The sequence below is a fragment of the Homo sapiens genome, chromosome 10 (assembly GCF_000001405.40).
Source record: "Homo sapiens chromosome 10, GRCh38.p14 Primary Assembly".
Lineage (NCBI taxonomy): Eukaryota > Metazoa > Chordata > Mammalia > Primates > Hominidae > Homo > Homo sapiens.
In genome coordinates, this window is record NC_000010.11 from 71,316,944 (window position 1) to 71,339,838 (window position 22,895).

General features: G+C 52.3%; 1 protein-coding gene, 1 long non-coding RNA gene and 1 other non-coding gene across 9 annotated transcripts in view, besides 4 other annotated features; 2 read left to right on the forward strand and 1 right to left on the reverse strand.

Moving 5' to 3' along the window:
- Positions 1,026 to 2,720, reverse strand: LOC124902445 (uncharacterized). The gene is made up of 2 exons (XR_007062183.1): positions 2,619 to 2,720; positions 1,026 to 1,961 (listed from the first exon to the last, which is right to left on the reverse strand). It is a non-coding gene; the product is annotated as an uncharacterized LOC124902445 (long non-coding RNA).
- Positions 2,113 to 2,562: a silencer, noted in NCBI's record as "silent region_2461". NCBI's record gives its function as "represses an Ori minimal core promoter by ATAC-STARR-seq in GM12878 lymphoblastoid cells {active_cell/tissue: GM12878}" and the evidence as "EXISTENCE:reporter gene assay evidence [ECO:0000049][PMID:35858748]".
- Positions 2,316 to 22,895, forward strand: part of SLC29A3 (solute carrier family 29 member 3) — a 62,165-nt gene continuing 41,585 nt past the window's right edge. For 6 of the 7 annotated variants that reach the window (NR_033413.2, NR_033414.2, XM_047425425.1 and 3 more), the window contains exons 1-2: positions 2,316 to 2,367; positions 5,813 to 6,111. Coding sequence is in view for 5 of the 7 variants with exons in the window: in XM_047425425.1 (XP_047281381.1) it covers position 2,367; positions 5,813 to 6,111 (300 nt within the window). In the remaining 2 variants the exon portion in view is untranslated. Of the gene's footprint in view, positions 2,789 to 5,812; positions 6,112 to 22,895 lie in introns of all 7 variants that reach the window. The other variant, NM_001363518.2, reaches the window with a different exon arrangement.
- Positions 8,385 to 8,488, forward strand: LOC124902574 (small nucleolar RNA U13). Its single transcript, XR_007062407.1, has one exon. It is a non-coding gene; the product is annotated as a small nucleolar RNA U13 (small nucleolar RNA).
- Positions 9,703 to 10,202: an enhancer, noted in NCBI's record as "H3K4me1 hESC enhancer chr10:73086403-73086902 (GRCh37/hg19 assembly coordinates)". NCBI's record gives its function as "activates a minimal SCP1, AML or CMV promoter by ChIP-STARR-seq in primed H9 embryonic stem cells {active_cell/tissue: H9 hESC(primed)}" and the evidence as "EXISTENCE:reporter gene assay evidence [ECO:0000049][PMID:30033119]".
- Positions 10,583 to 11,158: an enhancer, noted in NCBI's record as "H3K27ac-H3K4me1 hESC enhancer chr10:73087283-73087858 (GRCh37/hg19 assembly coordinates)". NCBI's record gives its function as "activates a minimal SCP1, AML or CMV promoter by ChIP-STARR-seq in naive H9 embryonic stem cells {active_cell/tissue: H9 hESC(naive)}" and the evidence as "EXISTENCE:reporter gene assay evidence [ECO:0000049][PMID:30033119]".
- Positions 11,159 to 11,734: an enhancer, noted in NCBI's record as "H3K27ac-H3K4me1 hESC enhancer chr10:73087859-73088434 (GRCh37/hg19 assembly coordinates)". NCBI's record gives its function as "activates a minimal SCP1, AML or CMV promoter by ChIP-STARR-seq in naive H9 embryonic stem cells {active_cell/tissue: H9 hESC(naive)}" and the evidence as "EXISTENCE:reporter gene assay evidence [ECO:0000049][PMID:30033119]".

Consider the following 22,895-nt stretch of genomic DNA (forward strand, 5'->3'; position numbering starts at 1 on the left):
CCGGGAAGCAGCCCCACGGATGCATTAGCAACCTGTTTCCTCCCACGGCTTTCTGCTTTCATGATGGAGGCCATCCCCAGAGCCCCTTCCTGAACTCAGCCCTAGCAACCAGCAAATCCCCAAGTGGCTGGCGCCTCCTCCATTTGGAGAAAGACCTCAGCCTCAGAGCTCTGGAAGAGGGCTCCTGGCACCTCTGATTCTCTAAGCAGGTGTCCTGAAACTGTCTCACTCACTCACATACATGCACATTCTCCAAAGATAAAGATAACAATGACTACAAACAACTCAGGACTCTGCATGAAGTAAAAGCAATCAAGTGACAAAGCACCGGAGCTTCACAGACATGGGTCATGGTCTTGGGGCTGGACCAGAAATAGCCCTGATCTGCTGCCCTCACTGAATCCTACGGCTTTGTCCCTCGTGCTGTCCCAGCTCCCCTCAGCCTCACCTGCCTGCCTGTAACCGGGCATGACAAAAAGAGCCTTGGCTCTGGGTTCTGCCACTCCATCACTGCCAGCTGTGTGCCCTGGGAAGCCACTTGACCTCTTTGAGCCTGGCTTTCCTCATCTGTAAAATGGGGACAACAGTCCCATTTCACTGGGTACTGGGGTGGGGGGGTGGAATCAAATGGGAGACTGTTCATGAAAATGCTCTGTATATTAGAGGATTTTTTTCCAACGTAAAGAGGCTAAAAATAAGGCCTGATGACTAAACTAACATATACACTATCACATTTTGGGGGTGGGGAGTGTCTTCCTTGGAAGTGATGGAAATTTGCATTGAGTGCCTGGCATGGATCACCTGACTTAATTCTCCCGACAGTCCTAAGCCGACCCTGGGTTTCAGAGAGGTTTAGTAATTTTACCATTATCCCTCAGCTTGTAAGCCTGGAGCTAAGCCCCTTCCTCTCCTGGGCCGGGGGGCTTTCTGACAATTTAGGGTGCTAGTCTCCAAACTCGCCTGCTGGTGGAGCTTGTTAAATAGATCCATTCTGGATCCCCATTCTGCACCCCCTGAGTGATGGGTTGTATTAATCCAGGTATTTATTGAACACAAATTATGTGCCCACGATGAGGGAAGAGCAAACAAAGCAGATACAGCACCACCCTCAGGGATTGGGGAGTGGCAGCAACCCTCCTGGGGAGAGGTCCCCAGAATCTGGATGTGTACTCGAGACTTTTATGATCAGGCCAGTGTTTGGGGAATGGTGGTTATAAAATGAGAGGCTGGGGCAGGGAGTGGGGATGTTCTGAGAACCTGTCCACACACTGACAGCCTCAATGGGTTCTGTGGCACCCCTGAGCCCTGGGATGGCAACTGCAAGAATTTACTATCCATGGTCACAGATCTTCAGGCCCTGTGAAGCATCCAGATCCCCGCTCTGAATAGGCCAACTGGGCCAGGACCGGGAGTCAGGAAGGTTTCCGCCTTTTTTTTTTTTTTTTTTTTTTTGAGATGGAGTCTTGCTCTGTCGCCCAGGCTCCAGGCTGGAGTGCAGTGGCACCATCTCGGTTCACTGAAATCTCCGCCTCCCGGGTTCAAGCGATTCTCCTGCCTCAGCCTCCCACATAGCTGGGATCACTGGCACGCACCACCATGCCCGGCTACTTTTGTATTTTCAGTAGAGACGAGGTTTCGCCATGTTGGCCAGGCTGGTCTCAAACTCCCGACCTCAGGTGATCCGCCTGCTTCGGCCTCCCAAAGTGCTGGGATTACAGGCGTGAGCCACCGCGCCCGGCCCCTGCTTTCTTAAAGAACACGCGGCAGCTGTGTGTTACACGCTATGGCTGAGGTCAAGTGTGAGGGCTGGAATTGCTGACTGCCATGTTCTGGGTCTACTGAAAATAGCTGCCTGGCCTGGGAGGCCCAGTTCAGTCCGGGTGTGGGTCCCGCTTCACCTCCAGAGCAGCGGCAGCCGGTAAGGGTAGAAGCGGCCTTTGGAGAGGGGTCTCTGCAGCGGCCTGGGGACAAGATGAGGGCTCCTTTGAGTCCTGGGGTGCAGGTTATAGTAGCTAAAGGGGAGGTCTGAGACAGTGGGGTCTGGCTCCAAGGTAAAGAAGGAGCAGCAACCAAAAGGCCTGATGCGCAGCGCACCCATCGCAAGCATGGGCAGTGCGTTTAAGACTGGGTGACTCACTTTTTCTCCTATAAAATGGGCGCACGCAGGCCCCAGCTCAGCGCCAGAAGGGGGAGCCCCGGCGCGCCGGCAGAAGACAAAGGAAAAAAGCGTGTTTGCAAACGGGGAAGCGGCGGCGTGCTGCCGCGAGGGGCGGGGCGGGGCCGGGGGAGGAGCCCGCCTGCCGCCTGCCAAGCCCAGTGGTCCTGGCCGTGCGCCGGAGGCAGCGGCGGCGTGGCGCAGCGGCGACAGTAAGTGCGGGCCGGCTCGGGCTCTTCCGGCTACGGTCCCGGCCGCCCCCAGACTCGCGCTCAGCGACCTCCCTCCCGGGCCCTGGGGGCGGCTGCGGGCTGCCAGGGGAGCCGCAGGACCCTACCCCATCCGTGGTCCCTTCCCCACCGTCCCTCCTCTCTCTCCTTGCTCTCTGCCACCCCTCTTTCTGGGTCTCTATCTTCTCTTCCCCAAATCCTCTCCCCTCCTCCTCCCTGAGACTGGACCTCACCGCCTGTATGGTGGGGGCCTGGTATGGACCCGTCGGCCCGAAGTATCCAGACGGTGGCTGATTCTCTCGGTCCCAGCTGCGGGGCCTGAGGCTGGGGCTGTTTACACCGCAAAGCCGGTTCTGCCGCGGCCAGTAGGCGGTGCCCTGCGCTTCCCAGTGCCTTCCCACAGGTTAGCCCTACCAGCTCCCCACCCCGGTTCACAGCCCAGGAGATCGAGGCACAGAGGGGCGAGCCACCTAGCCAGAGTCAGGAACCTCCTTGGAACCAGCACCCAGGCTTCCCAGCCCAGATGAGGTTTTGCCGCGGCCCCAGCAGTGCCTGCCTCCTTGTGTGGGGCTGTCTGTCTGTGCATGGCCGGGCTCCCGCAGGTGACCCAGGAGCACGTTCCAGGCCACAGCCAGCTTGTTTTGGGGAAGGTTGGGCACTTCCTTGCCTGCCTTTCTCTTTATTTTTTAATCCAGAAGCCAGCAGCTAGCTTTTATAAAGACTAATAAGACTTTGCTCACTCCAGTGCCCTGGCCTGTGACCCTGGTTAGAGAAAATTCCTGGCTCCTTCTTCAGAAGCTCAGTCAAGCCTTGACAAATAGACGCTAGGAACTGAGAAGGGGGCCCTAGCCAGGTGTGGTCCTGAGTGACAGGGCTGGTGGACCTTCTAGCCGCCCCCACAGGTAGCTGGAGCCTCTGGAAAGAACCACTTGCCGGTTCTCTCTTGTTCTATGTGGGTGGGTCATGATTATTTTTTACATTTTAAACACTAATTTTTAAAATGTAACAAGTGAGCTTGTTACATTTGTACCATTTTGTGCCAGACAAAATAGCATAGACTGGGTGGCTTAAACAAAATTTGTTTCTCATGGATCTGGAGGCTGGGAAGGGCAAGATCAAGGTGCTGGTTGATTTGGTTTCTGATGAGGGCTCTCTTCCTGGCTTGCAGACAGCCTCCTTCTTGCTGTGCCTTCACATGGCTTTTCCTCTATGAGTGGGTGCATGTGGAAAAAGCGATTTTCCACACAGTGAGCTTCCAGACAGTGAGCTTGTTAATGCTGGCCTCCATGCGAATCCAGGCTGGGGAGGGGCTCTGCTAACCAGGGGAGTTTAAAATAGACTTGCTGGCTGGATGCATTGCACTTGGGCATCCAGTGGCCCCCCACCTGCTGGCTCCAGGGTACATGCTACCCCAGCAGGGGAGAATGTCCTGGTCGTGCAGAGTCCGTTCATTCAGCAAACATTGACAAGGGTGCCTGCAGTGTGCCTGGGCCCCTCCCGACTCACTGGCTTCAAGGCTTGCAGGAAGGATGCCTGTACTTGGAACCAGCAGACACAGATTCCCATTCCCAGCCAGTCCTCCCCGGTGTGCTGAGGAGTCCAGCATGGGCCCCAGTCTGCTTGGCTGTGTAACTTCACTCTTGTCATCTACTAGTTATGTGACCCTGGGCAAGTTACTCAACCTTTCTGAGCCTCAGACCCCTCTGTGAAATGGGTCTTAGAGTAGTACCTAATATATTAGGCTGTTGTCAGCCTCAAGTGTGACCTCTGTTAGGCACAGACCTTGGCATTTGTGATCACTGGACTTAAGTTTAGCTATTGGGAGTTCTTTCTATTTGTGGGACATAGCAAGTGCCTTCCAGACCTCAGTTTTTCCATCTGAAAAAAGGGGGCAATGTTTTCTGCCCTGCCTAATTCCAAGGGATGCTCTGAGGTTCTCCTGAAATAGTGGATAAGGTTCTGCACCCATGTGAGGAGGTGTTCCCATCCCACCAGGGAATAAAGGCCCCAGTCTTCTTGGTACGATGCTTTGAGTTAGGCTTAGCCTCCTATAGAAACCAAGATGCATTTATTTATTAGTTTATTGGGTGGGGAAGAGGCTACTGCAGAAGGGACTCTGAAGTGTCCCATCCTCAGCATTTTGGAGACATTTCTCATTTATCAAGCTGCTGCCACATCCTAGGTGCTATGTAGAGCAAAGAAGCAGGCATGCTACCTTACAGCCAAATTCAGCAGCCAGCCAGCCAGCCATGCGACAGGCCCAGGATGCCAGGGAGATGCTGACATTTGTTCAACAGCTGCTTATAGGCCAGGCATTGCCAGCCAGTTGCAGTTGCATAACTATCATAAAAACAGCTTCTCTGGGTTTACATTTGGGGAAATTGAGGCACAGAAATGTGGTAACTTGCCCAAGGCCATGTAGGCAATAGTTGCTGGCAGCCTAGGCTCTTCCATTTATCTTAGGCGCTACCATAGATTGAAAGTGGCTGGCTCCTTGTAGGGTGTGATGAGCAGAGGTGGGACCCAGGCAGGAGCTGCAAACCCAGGCTTGGCCATTTACGTGGCCTATGGCCTTCAGTTCTTTGGACCTCTCTTTCCTCACAAATGAAATGGGAATGGACTGTCAGAGGCTACACACCAGCTTCTGGAGGCAGCCCTGGACACTACCAGTTTTTTAAACAATTATTACTTAATTTGAATTTTTTTAAATTTACACTTTTAATTTTGTTTTTGAACCGGTAATAAACTAGTCACATAGTTCAAAATTCAAGAGACACAAATAAGAATGCAGGGAAGTCCCCCTCCCCGCCCCCCACCATCCCAGTTTCCCTCCTTAGAGACAGCCACTGTTAGAAACTTCTTATGTAGCCTTCCAGAGATATTCTGTGCATATACAAATACATATGTGTATGTATATTTTCTCTCCCCACTTTTTTTACACACATAGTAGCATATTCTACACACCATCCTGCTCCTTATTTCTTTCACCTGAAATCGAAAAGGGTTTAGAGATCATTCTTTGCCCATTAAGGGTCCTAATTCTTTTTTATGGCTGCACAGAACTGTGAATGCCCTTAGACCAGGTTTGCCTTTCTGGGTACATTGCCACAGTCCCCACTATCATGCAGTGTTTTACAAAACCCAGCCTGTTCCACAGTTATGTGCTACTGCTACCTCTGTTGCCCTTGCATGGTTGGGGTGACCTCTGAGGACACTTACAGTTCTGACATCCTGCCCTTCTCCAGGTCTGATTTTTGTCTTTCTCCCTGATCCTTAAAATGAAGCTCTCCAACCAGGCTTTGGTGACTTTACAGAGCCCAGGGTGAGGGGGCATGGTCATTTTGTAGGCTGGGTGGGTCCCCAGCTGTCCCCCAGCCTTGGTTTCTACTCACCTACCCTGTCTCTGTTGCCCTCCTTGCTCCAATAGTGGCCGTTGTCTCAGAGGACGACTTTCAGCACAGTTCAAACTCCACCTACAGAACCACAAGCAGCAGTCTCCGAGCTGACCAGGAGGCACTGCTTGAGAAGCTGCTGGACCGCCCGCCCCCTGGCCTGCAGAGGCCCGAGGACCGCTTCTGTGGCACATACATCATCTTCTTCAGCCTGGGCATTGGCAGTCTACTGCCATGGAACTTCTTTATCACTGCCAAGGAGTACTGGATGTTCAAACTCCGCAACTCCTCCAGCCCAGCCACCGGGGAGGACCCTGAGGGCTCAGACATCCTGGTAAGGGCATGTTTCTCCTGCAAGGCTGGTGGGAGCATACAGAGGCCTCATGCCTCACATGCAGGGGAAGATGGAGATTTCAGACACATTTCCAGCCTTTAGATCACTTACTGTTTAGCTTGGGAAGAAGATGCAAATTATGGTTCCATGTGGTGTGTATGGTAAACCCATAAATCCAGAGTCCATGCCTCCAGGGATGTGAAGGTATGGACTGAATAGTGTTATGTTCAGCTATGAGTTACAGAAAATTCCAAAAGACTAGTAACTAAAATGAGATGGAAGGTCATTTTTCTCCCATGTTCAATTCTGGTCGGGACAGCCCAAGGCTGGTATGATGTTCTATGGCATTAGGAACCCAGTTGCTTCACTTCTGTGCAGCTTTCATGGCCAAGGCCACCTCATAGTGCAAGACGGCTGTTGTAAGTCCAGCCATTACATCAGTAGGAAAAAGCAAGAGGAGAAGGAGGAAATGCCTGTTGCCTGTACGAACACTTCCTGGAAGTAACATACATTGCTCTTCTTACATTGCATTGGTCAAAACTTAGGCATGTGACCACATCAGCTTGCAGAGCAGGCTGGGAAATGTAGTCTTTCAATGTAGCTTTATCTCAGAACCATGTGCCTGCTAAAATGGGAGGTTCTGTTATGGAAGACAAGGAAAATGAATCCGAAGGGATAATTAGTCTGATCACCATGGGAGAGATTGCTGTGACTTGGGAGTTGGTGGGTTTCAAGAAAGGGGAGGAAACGATCCAGGTAGAAGAAAAAGGCTGGGCAACGGCAGAATGGGAGGAAAGTTCAGGTGTGTATGACAAACTGTGAAGCTGTGTTTGGGGCACAAGTAAGAGCAAGAGGTCTTGAGATCATTGCCTGGGGCCTTGAATGTCCAGGTGAGGAGTCAATTTTGTTTAGTTGACAGGGCTGCTCACTTTGCTGGGTGGCTTTTCCAGAGAGGTGGGGGCAGTAGGGGAAGAGGATTAAGGAAAAAAATTATACTGACACTCGTTAAAACAGTAAGGAAAGCTTTATTTAAGACTATTGTAGTAGGGGAGATAAATGGAGCTCAACTCTGAAGAGGAGATGGGGATTTATAGCCAAGGAGCAGCATGAGGGCTGGAGGATGGAACATTTCTAAGAGGAGACGTCAAGGCGAGGCCTCTGCTTGCTGAAAGCAGGCCCAGGACTTACACAGTCAACCCTTGAACAACAAGGGTTCACTTTAGATGCAGATTTTTGTTTCAGCCAAACATGGAAAATACAGTATTTGTGAGTTGTGAAACCTGCATATACAGAGGGCCGACATTTCCTATTCCTGGTTCTGTAAGACCGACTGAGTATGCTTGGGTTTTGGTATATGGGGGGATCCTGGAACCAATCCCTTGGGTATACTGAGTGGGGTGAGGCGCTTGATCAGATGTGAGATAAGGGAATATTCTGGCTCAACTGGCCCAACAGAATTCTTGTTGAAAGCAGGTCTAGGACTTACACAGTCTACTGTTAAACAATATGGGTTTGAATTGCAGGGGTTCATTTATATGTGAAGTTTTTCAAACAAATGCTGATGGAAAATGTACTATTAGTGGAGTTCAAAACCTGATTACAGGGAGAGCTGGGTTCCACAAGGCTGGCTAGGGACCTGAGTATGTGTGGATTTGGGTATAGGTGGGAGTCCTGGACCAATGCCCTGAGTATATGGAGGGACAGCTATACATCAGAGGTGGGGAATGAGGAACTTGATCAGATCTCAAAGGTGGGGGGATGCTGGCTAATCTGACTTTGAAGGATTCTTGGCTAAGACTGAGTTGGGCAGGCAGAAGTCAGGACTGGGGGGTCGGGCCAAGGTCGAGGATGGGGCTCAGAGGAGCCTGACGAAAGTTAGGTCAATGAGAGTCTTGGTCAGGAGCCTCCGTTTCCACGGCTGCCCCAGGCTGGTGTCTGATCTCACTTGAGAGCACGGGGAGGCAAGGGCTTCTCCGACAAATGCCGAGATGAGATGTTGCCAGCTGCCCAGCTGTGCCCTTCTTCTCCAGGGGAGCATCAGAAACAAGAAGGGGGTATGCTAGCACCCCAGCCGCACCTTCCAGTGGCCCAGGAGGTGGCTCATCACTGCTTCCCAGAAGGAAATCCTTGGCCTCGCCCTGAGGAGCTGTCCTCAGTTTTATAGGCATGAATCTGCCATAGTGAGGGAGGCATCCCTGTTGTCCATCTCAAGGACTCACTGCAGCTACACATGTGGGTCACCCAGGCAGCTTCTTAAAAAATACCAGTCCAGAGTCCTTTTGTAGTTCATGAGTGTGATGACTGGGTTTCCACGCACATGTGTGAGATGGGCCTCCCTCAAACCTTGTTATGTCATCGGCACATTACCCGTCCGATGAAAAGGAATAAAAATACCAATGCGGGCCACGCCCCAGGGATTCTGACTGGATTAGCCTGAGCTGGGGTGTGAACATTGATATGTTTACAACTTCACACTTCCACACTCCTGTACTCCACCCCTCAACTCCCCCCATGATCTGACACCTGTGAGGGCCTTTTCTGTTAACTGAGGAATTCACAGATGCCTCCCAGGGCCAGAGCAATGGGATATAAACCATTTCTACAGCTGAGGAAGTGCCACAGGAACGCCGCAGAGTAGTTTACAGCCCCTCAACTCAAGGTGTGTCCTTGGACCAGCAGCCTCACCTGGGAGCTTGTTAGTGATGCAGTCTCCCACCCACTCGAGGCCAATTGAGACAGGGCCTTCGAGCTACCAAGCCCCTCGGGTGACTGAAGGGCACAGTAGAGTTTGTGGTGCACTGGACAGGGCTTGGCTGTGTGAACTCTCCATGCTGCCTCATATTTCTGGACTATATTAGTACTTTTTTTTTTTTTTTTTTTGAGACAGGGTCTTGCACTGTCACCCAGGCTGGAGTGCAGTGGTGCAGTCAAGGCTCACTGCAGCCTCAACCTCCCTGGGCTCAAGTGATGCTCTTGCCTCAGCCTCCTGAGTAGCTGAGACTACAGGCACACACCACCATGCCTGACCAGTTTTTTTGTATTTTTGGTAGAGACAGGGTCTCACTATGTTGCCCAGGCTGGTCTCAAACTCCTGGGCTCAAGAGATCCGCCCGCCTCAGCCTCCCAAAGTGCTGGGGTTACAGGCATGAGCCACCACACCCGGCCATCTTTCTGGTATGTTAAAGGAAGATATTATAATACCACCACCAACTTCTTAGGGCTGTTGTGAGGATTAAGTAAATTAATATGTATTAAAAAGCACTTAGGACAGGGCCTGGCACCCCTATCTGAAGTGCTTTATAAACACTATTATTGTGATGATCATTTGAGGGATGGGCCCATACTTCTAAGCTGCCTGCAGCCCTGGTGCATTTCCACAGGCGCAGGCTTAGCCGGGGTGCTTTACAATCCGCTTTTATTTACCAGTGACTCCAACGTCCCAGCTTTCTGCCAGCCGTGGTAAATCACCTGGCCTACTGGGCTTCCTCCAGAAGGTCCCTGCCTGTCTCGGCCGGCACAGAGCTAGATTGCGTGTGCACCTGCCCTGCCCCTCCTCTGTCCACTGCCAGGTCCCCGGGATCAAGCAGCCTCTGGAGGGAGGGGTGTCCAGGCCTGGCTCTGGGAGCAGCCCTCGCCTCGTGTACTGCTTTCACCGCAAGGCGATCCCTTCCCAGCTGCAGGCACTTGGCATTCTGAGCCCTGCTACGATGCTTTATGGCCTCTCTCCAACTGCTGGCAGGTGCAGATGTAGTACCTTCAGCTGCCCGGAGCTCCTGGCTCTTGGCATCGGAGATGAGAGACCTGTCACCCCTCGATTCATGGGCCGGGATTGGGAAGCGAGCATGCTGAGGCATTTCTGCATTTTGCGGGCCATTTCTCTTTGCCTCATTCCTCATCCCAGCCACCCACCTCCCCAGCTCTTTCCTCCTCTCTTCCTGATTTCCCTGTGAGAGGCTGCCCGTCTGCCCTGTCACCTGAGGGCCACTTTAGGGGAAGGAGGGGGAGAGTCAAATTGGCCTGTCTCTAGCCACCACCTGCAACTCAATTAGCTGTGGGTCTAGATGTTTATTCTTTCCTGTACTTTCCTTTGAACATTTTCTGGGGATGGATGCCATTTGATGGGGAGCTTGACCCAGGAGGAAGGTTTACCCAGACACCCTCTCCCCCAAATTATGTCACTTTCAAGGTCAGCGGGCTCATTTCCTTCTGCCTGGACAAATGTGGGGATGGCTTAGAAAGTATCCTGCTCACTCTGCCCTCCTGTCTCTATTCTCTGGAATAAGAACCTCCAATAAATATATCACAGGTGTATTGGCCCAGGGCAAAACAAAATTTAGAGCATAAATGAGGAAGAATTGATAAGAGAAGATGGCACAGGGGCCTGCAACAGCCGCCATTGCCTGAGCCCGACTCTGGGCCCACCATCCTGGCAGGGGTATTGCATGTGTTGTTTCTCAGCCCTGCAATGCAGATCTTAGTAACCATTTTCTTAAGACAAAAAGCCAGAGGCTCAGAGAGGCTAGGTAACCTGCCTGAGATTACACAGCTAGGAAGGGCTATAGGGAATTTCACGGGGCATTGAGGTGGACAGATGATTACAGACTCATTCATACTCAGAGAGTGGTATGTAGGGTACTATCCTGGAGATTCCCCACCCCCCACCCCCACACTTTGACTCCACCAAACACCATCTTCCTTCCTTTGGAGAGCCTGCCCCTGGTCTGGCCTCCTTTTCCAGCCTGAAACCCCAGGTGCCTGGGTTCTACACCTGGGTCCTGGACCCAGCGTCCCTTGTCCCTTCCCTACCTGACCTGTTTAGCTGGAGGTCCTCCCCGGCTCTGGGGTTGTAAGCCATCCCCTGCCCTGTGGGGCCTCCTTGCCCTCCCCCAGGCTCTCCTGCAGGCCTGTATTGGCTGCCCTTGGCCAAGAACAAAACAGTGAGCTGGACAAGCCCTACTTCCTACCCCGGAGAGAAGAGTGTCTGCACCTTCTCCTGGCCATTCCTTGCTGCAAGGCCCCCACAGCCGCTCTCTACACCTTCCTTCCTGTGTACCTCGGTCTGCCCAGGGACTCCTCTCTGAGGGACTGCAGGATGCGGCCAGGTCATGAGTGGGACCTACAGCCCGACTTAGTGTCAGCAGGGCTGGGACCCGGGCTAGGCACTCTACTGATGCCCCTGTCCATCCCCCCATCTGACCAGGAGGTACCCCAACACTCAGTCCCAGGGGTGAGGCAGGAGACAGAAGCAGCTCATCCCTGGGCACGTCCCCTGAAGCCACCTCTCTGAGTTAGGGGCTCCATGCCTGGGTCTTCAGAGCTGCATCATACTTCCCCATCACGTTCCTGCCCTACAGCTCATGGAGACCGAGCGCTGGCTGGGTGGGAGCTCCTGCTCTCAGCACTTTGCCTGCATTATCTCATGCAGCGCTGCAGCACCCGTAGGTCAGGAACTGTTATCATCCACCATGACAGATGAGGAGGCCTCCCCCGCTGGTGAATAAAACTCTCTTACTCTACATCCTATGCCCCTGGTACACCTGGCATGACACCCAACACATAATAGCACATAAATATTTGTCACATTAGTTATTGTAAGTCTGAGAAGGAAAGCTCCACAACCCAATCCATGATAGTGATGCCATGGCTCTGCAAGGGAGCAGAAGAAGATCTGGGAGTCACAGTGGCTACCAGTAAAGGAGTTTTGATCTTTCAGGTGTGTTGGCATAGACATGAAGTGGGGTTCCTGCCATAGGGAAGGTAGCCAGGTTGTCCTGGTTCAGCAAGTGGGGGACCTAGGGCATCCCCTCCCCTTATTTCCAGTTCCTTAGTTCTGGTCCAGTCTCTCAGCCCTGCAAAGAAGCAAGATAGCATACTTGGGATCTGCCCTTGAAGGGCTGACCTCCCAATCCAAGGAGGAAGTGTTCAAAGGAAGCAGGATGAGCTTGTGTGGAGAAGAGGATACTGGAGGACAGGTTATCAGAGGTTACCAAGTCCCTGCCATGCAGCCTGTACCCACCTCCCGCTTGACCTGCCATCTTCTTTTTCCACATGACATCCTGGTGAGCTAGGTGCTGCCATTCCAGTTGCCAAATGAAACCAAGGCTCACAGATTTTAGGCCACTGACCCAAGGTTATTTGCTAGCAAGTGATAGAACTGCAGAGCCCATGCTTATAACCAGCGTGTTCTCCAAGCTATCTGTCTACCTTGGCACGCTCAGCCCTGGCTGCACATCGGGATCACCTGGGAAGCTTTTAGAAAATACCCCACCTGCGTGTGCCTGTAATCCCAGCTACCCAGGAGGCTGAGGCAGGAGATTCGTTGGAACCTGGGAGGCAGAGGCTGCAGTGAGCCATGATCGTGGCACTGCACTCCAGCCTGGGCAACAGAGCAAGACTCTGTCTCAAAAAAAAAAAAAAAAGAAAAGAAAATACCCCACATCCCACGTGTTCCACTCACCCAATTCTAATTCATTCTGAGGGGCCTGGGCACAAGCATTTTAAGTTCTCTAGATAAGGCTAATGTGTAGCCAGATAAGAACCGTGATCCAAGCCAGGTGTGGTCGCGTGTGCCTGTAGTTCCAGCTACTCAGGAGGCTGAGGTGGGAGAACAGAACAGTGAGCTTGAGCCCAGGAGTTCGAGTTCAGACTTGGCAACATAGTGAAACACCAGTCTCAAAACAAAAAGGACTATGATTCAAGTAAAATGTTACCACATAGGGAGAAAAAGCAGCTGTCCTCTGCCTCCACTAGAGTACCCATTAACCCATTAAACAGGCAAAGGCTACATCATGAGAGACTTAGGTGAGCCTTCTGGGAGAACTTCCTGCCATGCAAGTCGAGTTGTCAAACCTGGCAGTGAAGGGGACAGTTTCCCCCTTGGAGAATTAGGGCCACATCCTGTGGGAAGTCTAAGGAGTTGGCCTAGTCTACCTCGAGTGTGGGGTTCCTCATGGGACTCCCTACAAATGTAGGTGGTTGGAGGGTTCGGTGCTTGTCTAACGGAAATGCTCTGGGCTTGAGCTCCACCCGCAAGCCCACAGTTCCACGCCAGCCAGTGGTGGCCCCTGGAAGAGCCTTTGCCCTTTCTCTTGGTAATGCTCCCCTTTGCTGGGCCAGGGGGCCAAGGGATATAGTTAGGAGATGGGGGCTCCACAGCCACCCTCCTCTTCCTTCCAATTTCCCAGGCTCCTGGAAAAGGAGTGATAGGGCCAACTGGGCTCAACATGGGCATCCTACACCTGGGGTGGCACAAAGCAAGAGCAAGTGAAACTGGGAGAGCAGAAGAGAGGCAGTCCTGAGGCCCTGACCCAGCTGGGTAACCTCTCTGTGCTGTGTCAGGGAGTGGAGGCTCCCTGTTCCCAGAGGTTTAAAAGTCACAGGATATCTATTTGGTAAAGGCTCCACAGCTAGGTGAAAGGTGGATTGGTCCTGTCTCATAGGACCACAAGGTAGCTGGGAGGAACCCAGATTTGGCAACAGAGGGACTCTAGTCTAGCAGTGCCCTTACCCACTGTGTGGGTTGGAGGCATGCTCTGTCGCCCTTGGGCCTTTTGCCCACAGACCCACCTGGCAGCATTTACATAACGCTGCAGACACAGGTAGGGTGGAAAGTCCTGACAGTTATGGTGTGCCTTATAGATGGTGGCTCCTGCATGAGGACTTCACTAAATCCCAACATTCGCTGCCTTTACTAAGCTCTTACCATGTGCCAGGCACTGCTAAGGGCACAGATTCATTCATTAACTCAGCAATATTTATTAAGCAATCTACTGTGTACTAGAAGCTTTTTTTTTCATGATCTTTTGTTTGTTTTTTTTTTACAGCCCAAAGACATAGGTTTATTATACCCATTATACAGAGAAGGAAACCAAGGTTGAAAAGTTTAAGTCATTTGCTCCCAGGTACAAAGTAAGTGATGACTGGGACTCAGACCTGGGCCCTGTCAACCCAGGTATCCGTGATCTTAACCCCAGTGCTTTATATCAGCATTTTCGAAATTTTTTGGAGCATGATGGCTGTCTCACCTGGCAAGATATTTGTGTCTATAATGCAAACAACAGTTTCATGAAGCTGCGTCTGTACTTAAAAAAAGAAAACTCCACTCTGACTGCAGTTTCAAGGAGGAGCAAGTGATGCAACAGTGGCAGTGCTGGTTGTAAGCCATGCAGGATGAGGATGGAAAGTTTGTCCTTGAGTTTGACCTTGTGCAGGTTCATGGTGACCTTGGGGAGCAGCATCGTGGAGGATGGGGGGAGAGACAGAGGAGACAGCAAACTCAAGGAATTTTGCTTTAAATGGGAGCAGGACAATGAGGCACAAGCTGCAGGGAACTGTGATTCAGAAGGGGGAGAATTTTCTGTTCTTTTATTTTTAATACGAGAGACATAGCAGGCAGTTTGTGTGTGGAAGCAAATGATCCAGCAGAGAAGGAAAAACGCATGATGAAGAAGAGGGAGCATAGCTCAGCGAGGTCCATGAGCAGGCCAGAGGGCTCAGGTGCACAGAGAAGGGTTCCAGAAAAAGATGCAGACAGCTCACTCACCTTTAGTAAGAAAGAAGGCAACAAAGGATTAAATAGAATAAAATAAAATTCTGGTCGTGACCCATCAAATGAATTTCATATTCTTTAATGAGCTGTGCAACCTGTAGTTTGAAAAACCCTGCTCTGCCTGTTTCCCCTAACTTTGTAGCCATCTATGAGGATGCGTCATGTCCTCATTCCACAGAGGAGGAAAGTAGAGACAGTAAGTAACTCGTTGGTGCCACATAGCTAATAAGAAGGGGGGTGGCAGCCCAGGGTACCTGAATCAGTATCAGATTTCCTGGGACACTTGCCAAATACCCGGATTCCTAGACCCTTCCCTGATGGCTTTATCTCCCTGGGTGAGGCCTGGGCACTGTTGCCAGGTGGTCCTGTTGCCAGCTGGCCAGGGGAGCAGGTATCTAGGAGTCTCTCCTTTGTGCCAGGTGGTGTTCCTGCAGAACCGTTTTAGTGCTACTCAGATCTCTCTCCAAATGGAAACAATGTTTAGACTCCCTTTGCAATCCTCTTTTATTCTTTTTTTCTTTTTTCTTCTCTTTTCTTTTTCTTTTTTTTCTTTTTTTTTTTTTTGAGACACATTCTTATTGTATCGCCGAGGTTGGAGTGCAGTAGTGCGATCTTGGCTCCTGGGTTCACTCTGCCTCCCGGGTTCAAGTGATTCTGCTGCCTCAGCCTCCTGAGTAGCTGGGATTACAGGCGCCCGCCACCACACCTGGCTAATTTTTGTATTTTTGGTAGAGATGGGGTTTCACCATGTTGGCCAGGTTGGTCTTGAACTCCTGACCTCAAGTGATCCGCCCACCTTGGCCTCTCAAAGTGCTGGGATTACAGGCGTGAACCACTGCACCCTACCAGCAATCCAATGTTTAAGAGCAGAATTCCCAAGAGTGGAGAAGGGCACAACACCCCTCCTCCCCGCATAGAAAGAAGTGTATTAAAGTGGGATTTTGCCTGAGCTTTGTCATCCTAGGAAAAGAGATGGGGAGTCTGAGGTCAGGCAGCATGGGCTTCAGGCTTTCTGCCACTGGGTGTGCATGAGTGGCTGCCAGTTGCTTTGGCTGGCGTGGATGACTGCTCTACACCATTTTTAAAAATTAGAACCAAAAGTGAGTCATTTTTTAAAATCCCCTTGTCCACCCTCTGATTCTAACTGCGGGCCCAGCCAGCGTGCCATTCCCAATAAATAATACACCTGTGATGGCTTTTTCTTCTGTTTTTAGCTCTTGCTGCATCCTGCAGAGGGGAAAAAAGCCTAGTTTGAAACGCTGTCAGTCATGCCTTTGGTGGCCTCAGCTTCTCTAGTTCTCTTCTTATTTTCTCCCTAAGTGCTCACGACCCTTCTTCCCCACCCGCGCTGCGCTCCCTTGCCCTCCAGGCTATTGACTGCTCCCTCTCTGCCTTCGATTTTATTTCTTCCTGCATATATCCTTAAAATCCAGAGGCGATTTCCTGGACAAATTAGAAGATGGCCTGGACCTTAAGTGCTCCAGTGTCTCTTTAACATGATTGATATCACAAGTGTCCAGAGAGCGGAACCTAAATTAGAGTCTCCACCAAGGAGCCCAGCGCTTTTGACACAGGCAGGCAGCCTGGGAAGGGTCTGCAGCACTGGGTGCCTGGGACCTCCTTGCTGGCCTCTTGCCGGTCCTCACTGCCTGGGAGGACTGTGTAACAGCCTTTGCCTGTTTAATGGGTTAATGAGTACTCTAGTGGAGGCAGAGGACAGCTGCTGTTTCTCCCTATGTGCCTGTGTTTCTGTGCACGTCTGTGCCTGTCTGCATGCAGGCACCTGAGGCCTAGAGCAGCCTGTGGTTTCTGCCCACATGCACCTCCAAAGAGAAACAGCCTTCCCAAGGCGGGAGCAGTCTGTTGTTGAGGAAGTGCCTGCCAGGGGTTGGCTAAGGACTCCCTCTTCCTGATGGTCCCTAAGGTTTTCTACTACAGAGAGAGGCTGGAGCACCCCCAGACCACCTCCTCATTACCACCAGGCCACAGGGCATGGCCCTTGTCCCTGGTCATCAGCCTTGTGACACTGATGCACGGGACCCTCTGGGGGATGCAGAAGCCTGCCCGGTCAGGCAAGAGTAGGTGGGGTGTTTTCTTGAAAGGCCTTCTTCCTCTTTTCCCTATCACATGGCAGAAGTCAGGCTGCAGAAGAGGAAAGACTGGCTGGCCCGAGCATCAGCAGTGGCTGAGCCTCTGATCAGCTCATCCTCAGGGAGCTTGGGGTCACTCGTGCATGGATCCGTGAGGTTCCCTGTTTCTCTGACCCCTTGGTTTCTGAGCCCTTACTCTGCCTATTCTGGTTACAGCCTGAGAGTACATGAGGGGAATAAAGGGGATAAGAATCAGAGCAGTCAGCTTGCCCCTTGCTAGGGGACCTTGCGAAGGCTTGGCCGAGGCAGGGTATAAAGGTAGGTAGAAATGAGGTTTCCATCTTCCTTGCTCACCCTGCCTGGCAGAAAGACTCTGGATTCAGGAGAGCTGGCTTCTGTTTCTGACTGTGTTTCAAACTTGCTGGGTGACTTGAGACCATGTCCTCCTTTGAGGAATGAAGATATGAGACCGTAGATTGGGACCCAGAAACTTTTCCCGCAAAGGGCCAGATGGTTCGTATTTTAGGCTTTGTGGGCCCCACAGTCTCTGTTTGCTACTCAGCCCTGCCCTTGCAGAGTGAAAGCTGCCCTTGACAACATGTAAACAAATGGGCTGACCGAAGGCCGACCGCGTTCCAGTGTTCACACAAAGGAAGAGGGCAGATTTGGCCCGGGGGTAACCCGCTGCTAACCTCTGGACTGGGAACACTCACTTACAGCTCTTTCCCAGTTCTGTGATCTATTATAGTGGTACCTACCCTGCTGAATTTGTCTTCATATCACTGACCACTGCCTGGCCTATTATCTATTTGTTTATGCATTTGCTAGCCATCTCTTTGACTAGATGGGCAGTTCCATAAAGGCAGGAACTTGAGCTGAATCTCCCATGTCTACAACATCTAGCGAGCTCAGTAAATATTTGCAGAAGGATGAATCCATCTCTGAGTATTTGTGGAGAGGAGACAGGGACAGGAGGAAGAACCGCCATCGCTGGATTGTGCACCGTGATCCCGCAGTGCACCTCCACCACAGCCTGCACACCCGGACCTGCCTGGGCCCCAGCCTCCCCCCATCCCCATTCATACTCCAGCTCACCCCTGTGGAGGCTTGAGCACATCAAGCTCATTCCCGACTCAGGGCCAACCGTACGCTGTTCCCTCTGTCCAGGCTCTAGGTTAGCCAATTATTTGTATTTTAGTTTTATTGCATTTATCCTAATTTGCAGTCTTTTTTCCCCCCACTTGCTGTTGACTCTTTTTTTTTCTTTTTTTTTTTTTTTGTGCCTCCCTCCCTAGAACACTGGCATTCCCAGCCCCTAGAACACATTGAGCACATACAAGCTGCTTGGCCATCATTTGTTGAATGAGTGAATGAGCTCTAGAAGGTCAACTGCCTTTCACCTTTAGTGAGTGAATAGATGAATGAATAAATTAACCACTGCTACCTGCTTCTTCCCATCTGCTCCCTCCACCCATTTCTGCCAGGTGATTCCTTCTACACCCAGCACTGCCCCCCATACTGTTTGGCGTTGAGAAGCCCCCAGAGCTCCCCAGTACCTTCCAAAACAAAACCCCTCTTTAGGCAGCTGCCTGAGACCACCCGCGAATCGGCCCTCAGCCACCCTTGCCTCCACGCGCCCCATCATTTCTCCAAGTGGAGCCCCCAAGGTTTCCGGCAAAGGAGCCAAGCGAGGGGACAATGCAGCAAGGTGCAGGAGGGGCCTGGAAGCGAGGCTGCAAGGAGGAGGGGCGTGGCAGTCACAGGGAGGCTGATTTATAAGGCGCAGAGGCTGAGGGTGGCCAGGCCCAGGGAGGAACTTGAGCAAAGGCGTGGAGGGGATGCCTGGGGGAGAGGCTAGAACCCGAGGGGAGACTGGGTGGACACGTGAGCCATAGTCAGGTGATGTGGAGACGGGGCCAGTAGATGTGATTGACTGGGGTGAGGGTGAAGGAGAAACCAAGGAAGCTTTGAAGAGGGGCTGAGAAAAGGAGGATGACCATGGGGCCTTCAGAGGGGCTGCTTGGGAGTCTTCTCTTGAAGGCCTTTGATTTGAGGAGCTTGGGGTTTGGGCTCAGCAGGACCCCCAAGCGGTTGTTCTGGATGAAGAGACGGATGTATGGGTAGAGGTCATGAAGCCAGGGGAGGTGAGCTTCTCCTACCACCACCCCCACCCTTACAAAAGGAGGGCAGGAAACGAAGGATGGAGCTCAGGGGGCACCTTGGGATGGTGGAGGGAGCCAGAGGTGGACAGAGATGATGAGGAAGTGTGGAGGTGGGGGCGGGTGTGTCCTTGTGAATCTGGAGGAGAGGAGTGCTGGAAGGACATTGCATTAGTTTCTTGTGGCTGCCTTCACCAAGTACCACAAACTGGGTAGCTGAAAAGCAAGGCTCTAGGGAATAACATTTCCTTGCTGCTGCTTTGGCATTTTTTGGCTCATGGCAGCATCACTGCAGTCTGTGGCTCTGTCTTCACGCAGCCTCTGCCTGTGTGTCTGTGTGTCCTTCCCTCTTTTCCCGTATACTGTGGATTGAGGGGTCATTCCTCCTCCAGTAGGATCTCCTCTTAACTAAGCATGTCTGCAAAGACCCTATGTCCAGATAAGTCACATCCTGAGGTTCTGGGTAGACATGAATTTTGGGGGCATGAATTCAGCCCCCTCTAGACGGGGTAGCATGCAGTGTCTGGATTGTGAGGAACAAGACCAGGCCTTGGTTACAGGTGGGCTGCGAGGAGGACGCTGAGGACCCTTAGAGGAAATGTTTCCCCAGGGCAGCCGGGAGGGACACGGCTTTGGCAGTGGCAACATGGACTACATTTTCAAGGAGTGTGGAGTGAAGGGGAGGAGGGGCCTGGTTCCTGGAGGCAGCAAAGTTAAAGTAGTTTTTTTTTCTTTACCCAAAGGGAGACCTAAGAGAGTCTCTTGGCCAGCAGAGAAAGGAACAAGCAGCAGTGAGGGAAAGAGAAAATGCAGGCAAGAAAGGTGGGATTCATGGTGTGAGTCTCCAGGAAGTCAGCTTAGGCTGGAGGAAGAGCCCTTTTTGCGGAGTGGAAAGGAGGTGTGCTCCAGAAAGCCTTGCACACACTGCAAGGAGGAAGGCGGGGAAGCTCATTCCAGAAGACAGGAACTTTGCTCATCGTCCAGCAGGGATTCCTGAGGAGGTGTGAGAAAGGATTGAAGGCTGGGGAGAGCCCCGGGGTGCTCAGAGAGCAAGATTTACAGTGAGCCCAGGCCTGGAGCTGTCATGAGAGGCCAAAGGAGGGACGGTTGCATGCAAGGGTCAGATGGGGACCCTCTTCCTTAGGGTGGCCACAGTGGCTTCGTCTGTCTGGCCAGCATTTTCCAGAGCTTACCTGTCTGATTCTGACCCCAGATTTGTCCTTCCCTTGGGCCTCTGGCCTCCCCTTCAGCCTGGCTGCATCTAGCCTCCTGCCTGGCCCCTGGAACAGGCATTGCCCCCCTTCCCTGCCCAGCCAGCCCTCCCAGCTGGTCCCTGCCCTTGGCCACACACCCATTATCTTTCCTGAGCCAGTGCTCCAAACACAGGGCCTTGGAACTTGCAGAAAGGTTACCAGCCCCACCCCTTATGGGGACATCTGCCCTCTGCTCACCTCATTTTGCTCAGGAATGATCTGGGCTGATGCCCAGGGCAAGGGCACCTCCCCTGCAATATCCCAGGCCGCAGAACTCAGCTATCCGAAAGCGGCAAGTTTGCAATGGCAAACTATTCTTGGCTCCAACCTGCTCGCTGCTGCTAATTTCATGCCCCTGTGATCCAGGTAACGCTCTGCTGCCTTGAGCTGCCACCCCCAGGCTTGAATCGCTTTTCCTCGCCCGCCCGGTAGGAGCCCAGCTGCCTCTGCTGCTGCTTCCTGGAGGTGGGGGCTGCACAAAGCTGCCTCGCAGAAGCCACTCAGCAGCACGGACACTGAGTCTGCCGCAGCTCGTGACTAATTTGCTGCACTTATTTCAAAGTGCCCAAATGGCATTCAGGGAAGAGAAAGCTTAACCAGGGTCTGCCAGAGATAAACGGGCTCATTTCGGGGCCTCCCTGCCCGAAGAAACCTCTTTACCTGGACTCTGAGCCTGGAATTGAATTCTTCCAGAAGAGACCCTTAGCACGGAGCCTCTCAGTGTGGCGGAGGAGAGGAAATGTGGCCCGTCATAAAATGGGCCTCACATCTGGCCAGCTGGCTCTGGTGGGCTTTTAAATTGTGTTTGAAGAGCATCTCTCCCCTTTCCTGGTGTTCGCAAACTGGGTCAGTGTAGCAAATGGAAATGAGTTTCCTTCTCACCATAGCGAGCAACTCAAGTGCCCCCCTGCCCAGGCCAGCAGTGGCTCATCCACATTCACCCACCATATGGGGGTACCCTGGCGCCTGGCACCCCTGGGCCAGGGCCTGTCCACAGTCTGGGTGAGGAACCCCCATGCCCACCCTGGGCCAGTCTGGGTGAGGCCCCCATGCCCACTCTGGGGCTCTTTGCAGGGGTTGCAGAGTAAGGCGAGAGCTTGGAAGCCTGCCCCATGCTGCCCACCCACAGACACTCTTTAACATGGTCTTTGCTTAGCTGCCAACCATGTCCGTCAATTTTGGGTAACTGACAGAGGTGGGGGCTTTTCTCTTAATCTTTTTCTTTTCTTTTCTTTTTAAAACTACGAAGACCCATAGGCCTCTGGAAATGCTGAGGGGAATGGGCGGTGGGATTTGAGAGAAAAGATTAGCTAATGTATTCCTTTACTCTTGTCTACCACTGCAGAAAGAGGAGAAAGAAATCAAACCCTGGCCGGGCACCATGGCTCAGCACCTGTAATCCCAACACTTTGGGAGGTCAAAGCAGGTGGATCACCTGAGGTCGGGAGCTCAAGACCATCCTGGCTAACATGGTGAAACACTGTCTCTACTAAAAATACAAAATTAGCTGCGTGTGGTATTGTACGCCTGTAATCCCAGCTACTCGGGAGGCTGAGGTGGGAGAATTGCTTGAACCCAGGAGGCGGAGGTTGCAGTCAGCCAGGATCATGCCACTGCACTCCAGCCTGAGCGACAGAGCGAGACTCTGTCTCGAAAAAAAAGAAAAAAAAATCAAACTCTGTCATTTGCTGGCTTGGGCAGGTCACCTGCACCTTAGGGCCAGGTAGAAGAAAGACACTGCCCTCCCTGAGAGGAACGTGTCTCACATTCCTGCTTGCTGCTGGAAGGCATGTGGCTGCCAGGCCCAGCATCTGAGGCTTCCTGGTGATGCACCGCGACCCCAGTGATAGTGTTTGGGCTTGTGCCTCCAGGAGACAGACAACCTCAGCTAGAGCAGCTTATACATTTGTAGGGGGATGATAAATATGTCTCCACCCGGTCTCTGCCCTGCTCTGCAGCAAAAGATGCTGCCACCAGCACTCCCAATGTGGACCTCTGTGTACCTCTGGGAAATTCCTCTACCTCTGTGAGCCTCAGGCTGCTTATCTGTAAAATGAGAGCGATTCCAGCCCTGCCTCGCCCTCACTGGCTGTGGTAAGAGCACATGGGCTGGGGTGTGTGCAGGCCCTCTGGAAGCTGTGCTGCTTGCATGTCAGAGTTCCCTGGCATTCTGCAGAGCTCCCACTTCCCCACCTGGGTTAACTGACTTTGATGCGATTACTTAGAGACTGGATGTTGAGTCCCACACCCTGCCTGAGCTCCAGGTCATTGCAGGGTGCAGATAACGCTAGGGAGATAGTGGTGCGCAGGGAGATCAGATCTCACATTCAGGGAGCACAGCTATCCCTCTGTTCCTCAGAGCTGGGCCTCTCCCACGTGGGTTTGAGAATTCAGAGGTGACTGATGGGCCTCTCTGCCATTAGCGCTCTGGGGGTTGAGTGCCTTGGCTGCTTGAGGTTCTGCCAGCCCTCCTGTGGATGGGATGGACAACACAGTGTGGTTTGCTTCAGCTCAGGAGGGGCTGTTGGTGCTAAGGAAGCCTCAGGTTGCTTTCAACAGATGAGCTGCGCTGGCATCCTCACTGGTGGGGAAGCATCCCTTCATGCTTTTGTGCCAGCCGTTCTGTCCTGTTGGGAATGTTTCTCTCCCCACTGGCACCCATACCTGCCATATCTGTCTGACATGCTTCCCCCAATCTTTCCAGCTGCCGTCCAAGATGGCCCTGGTGGAAACC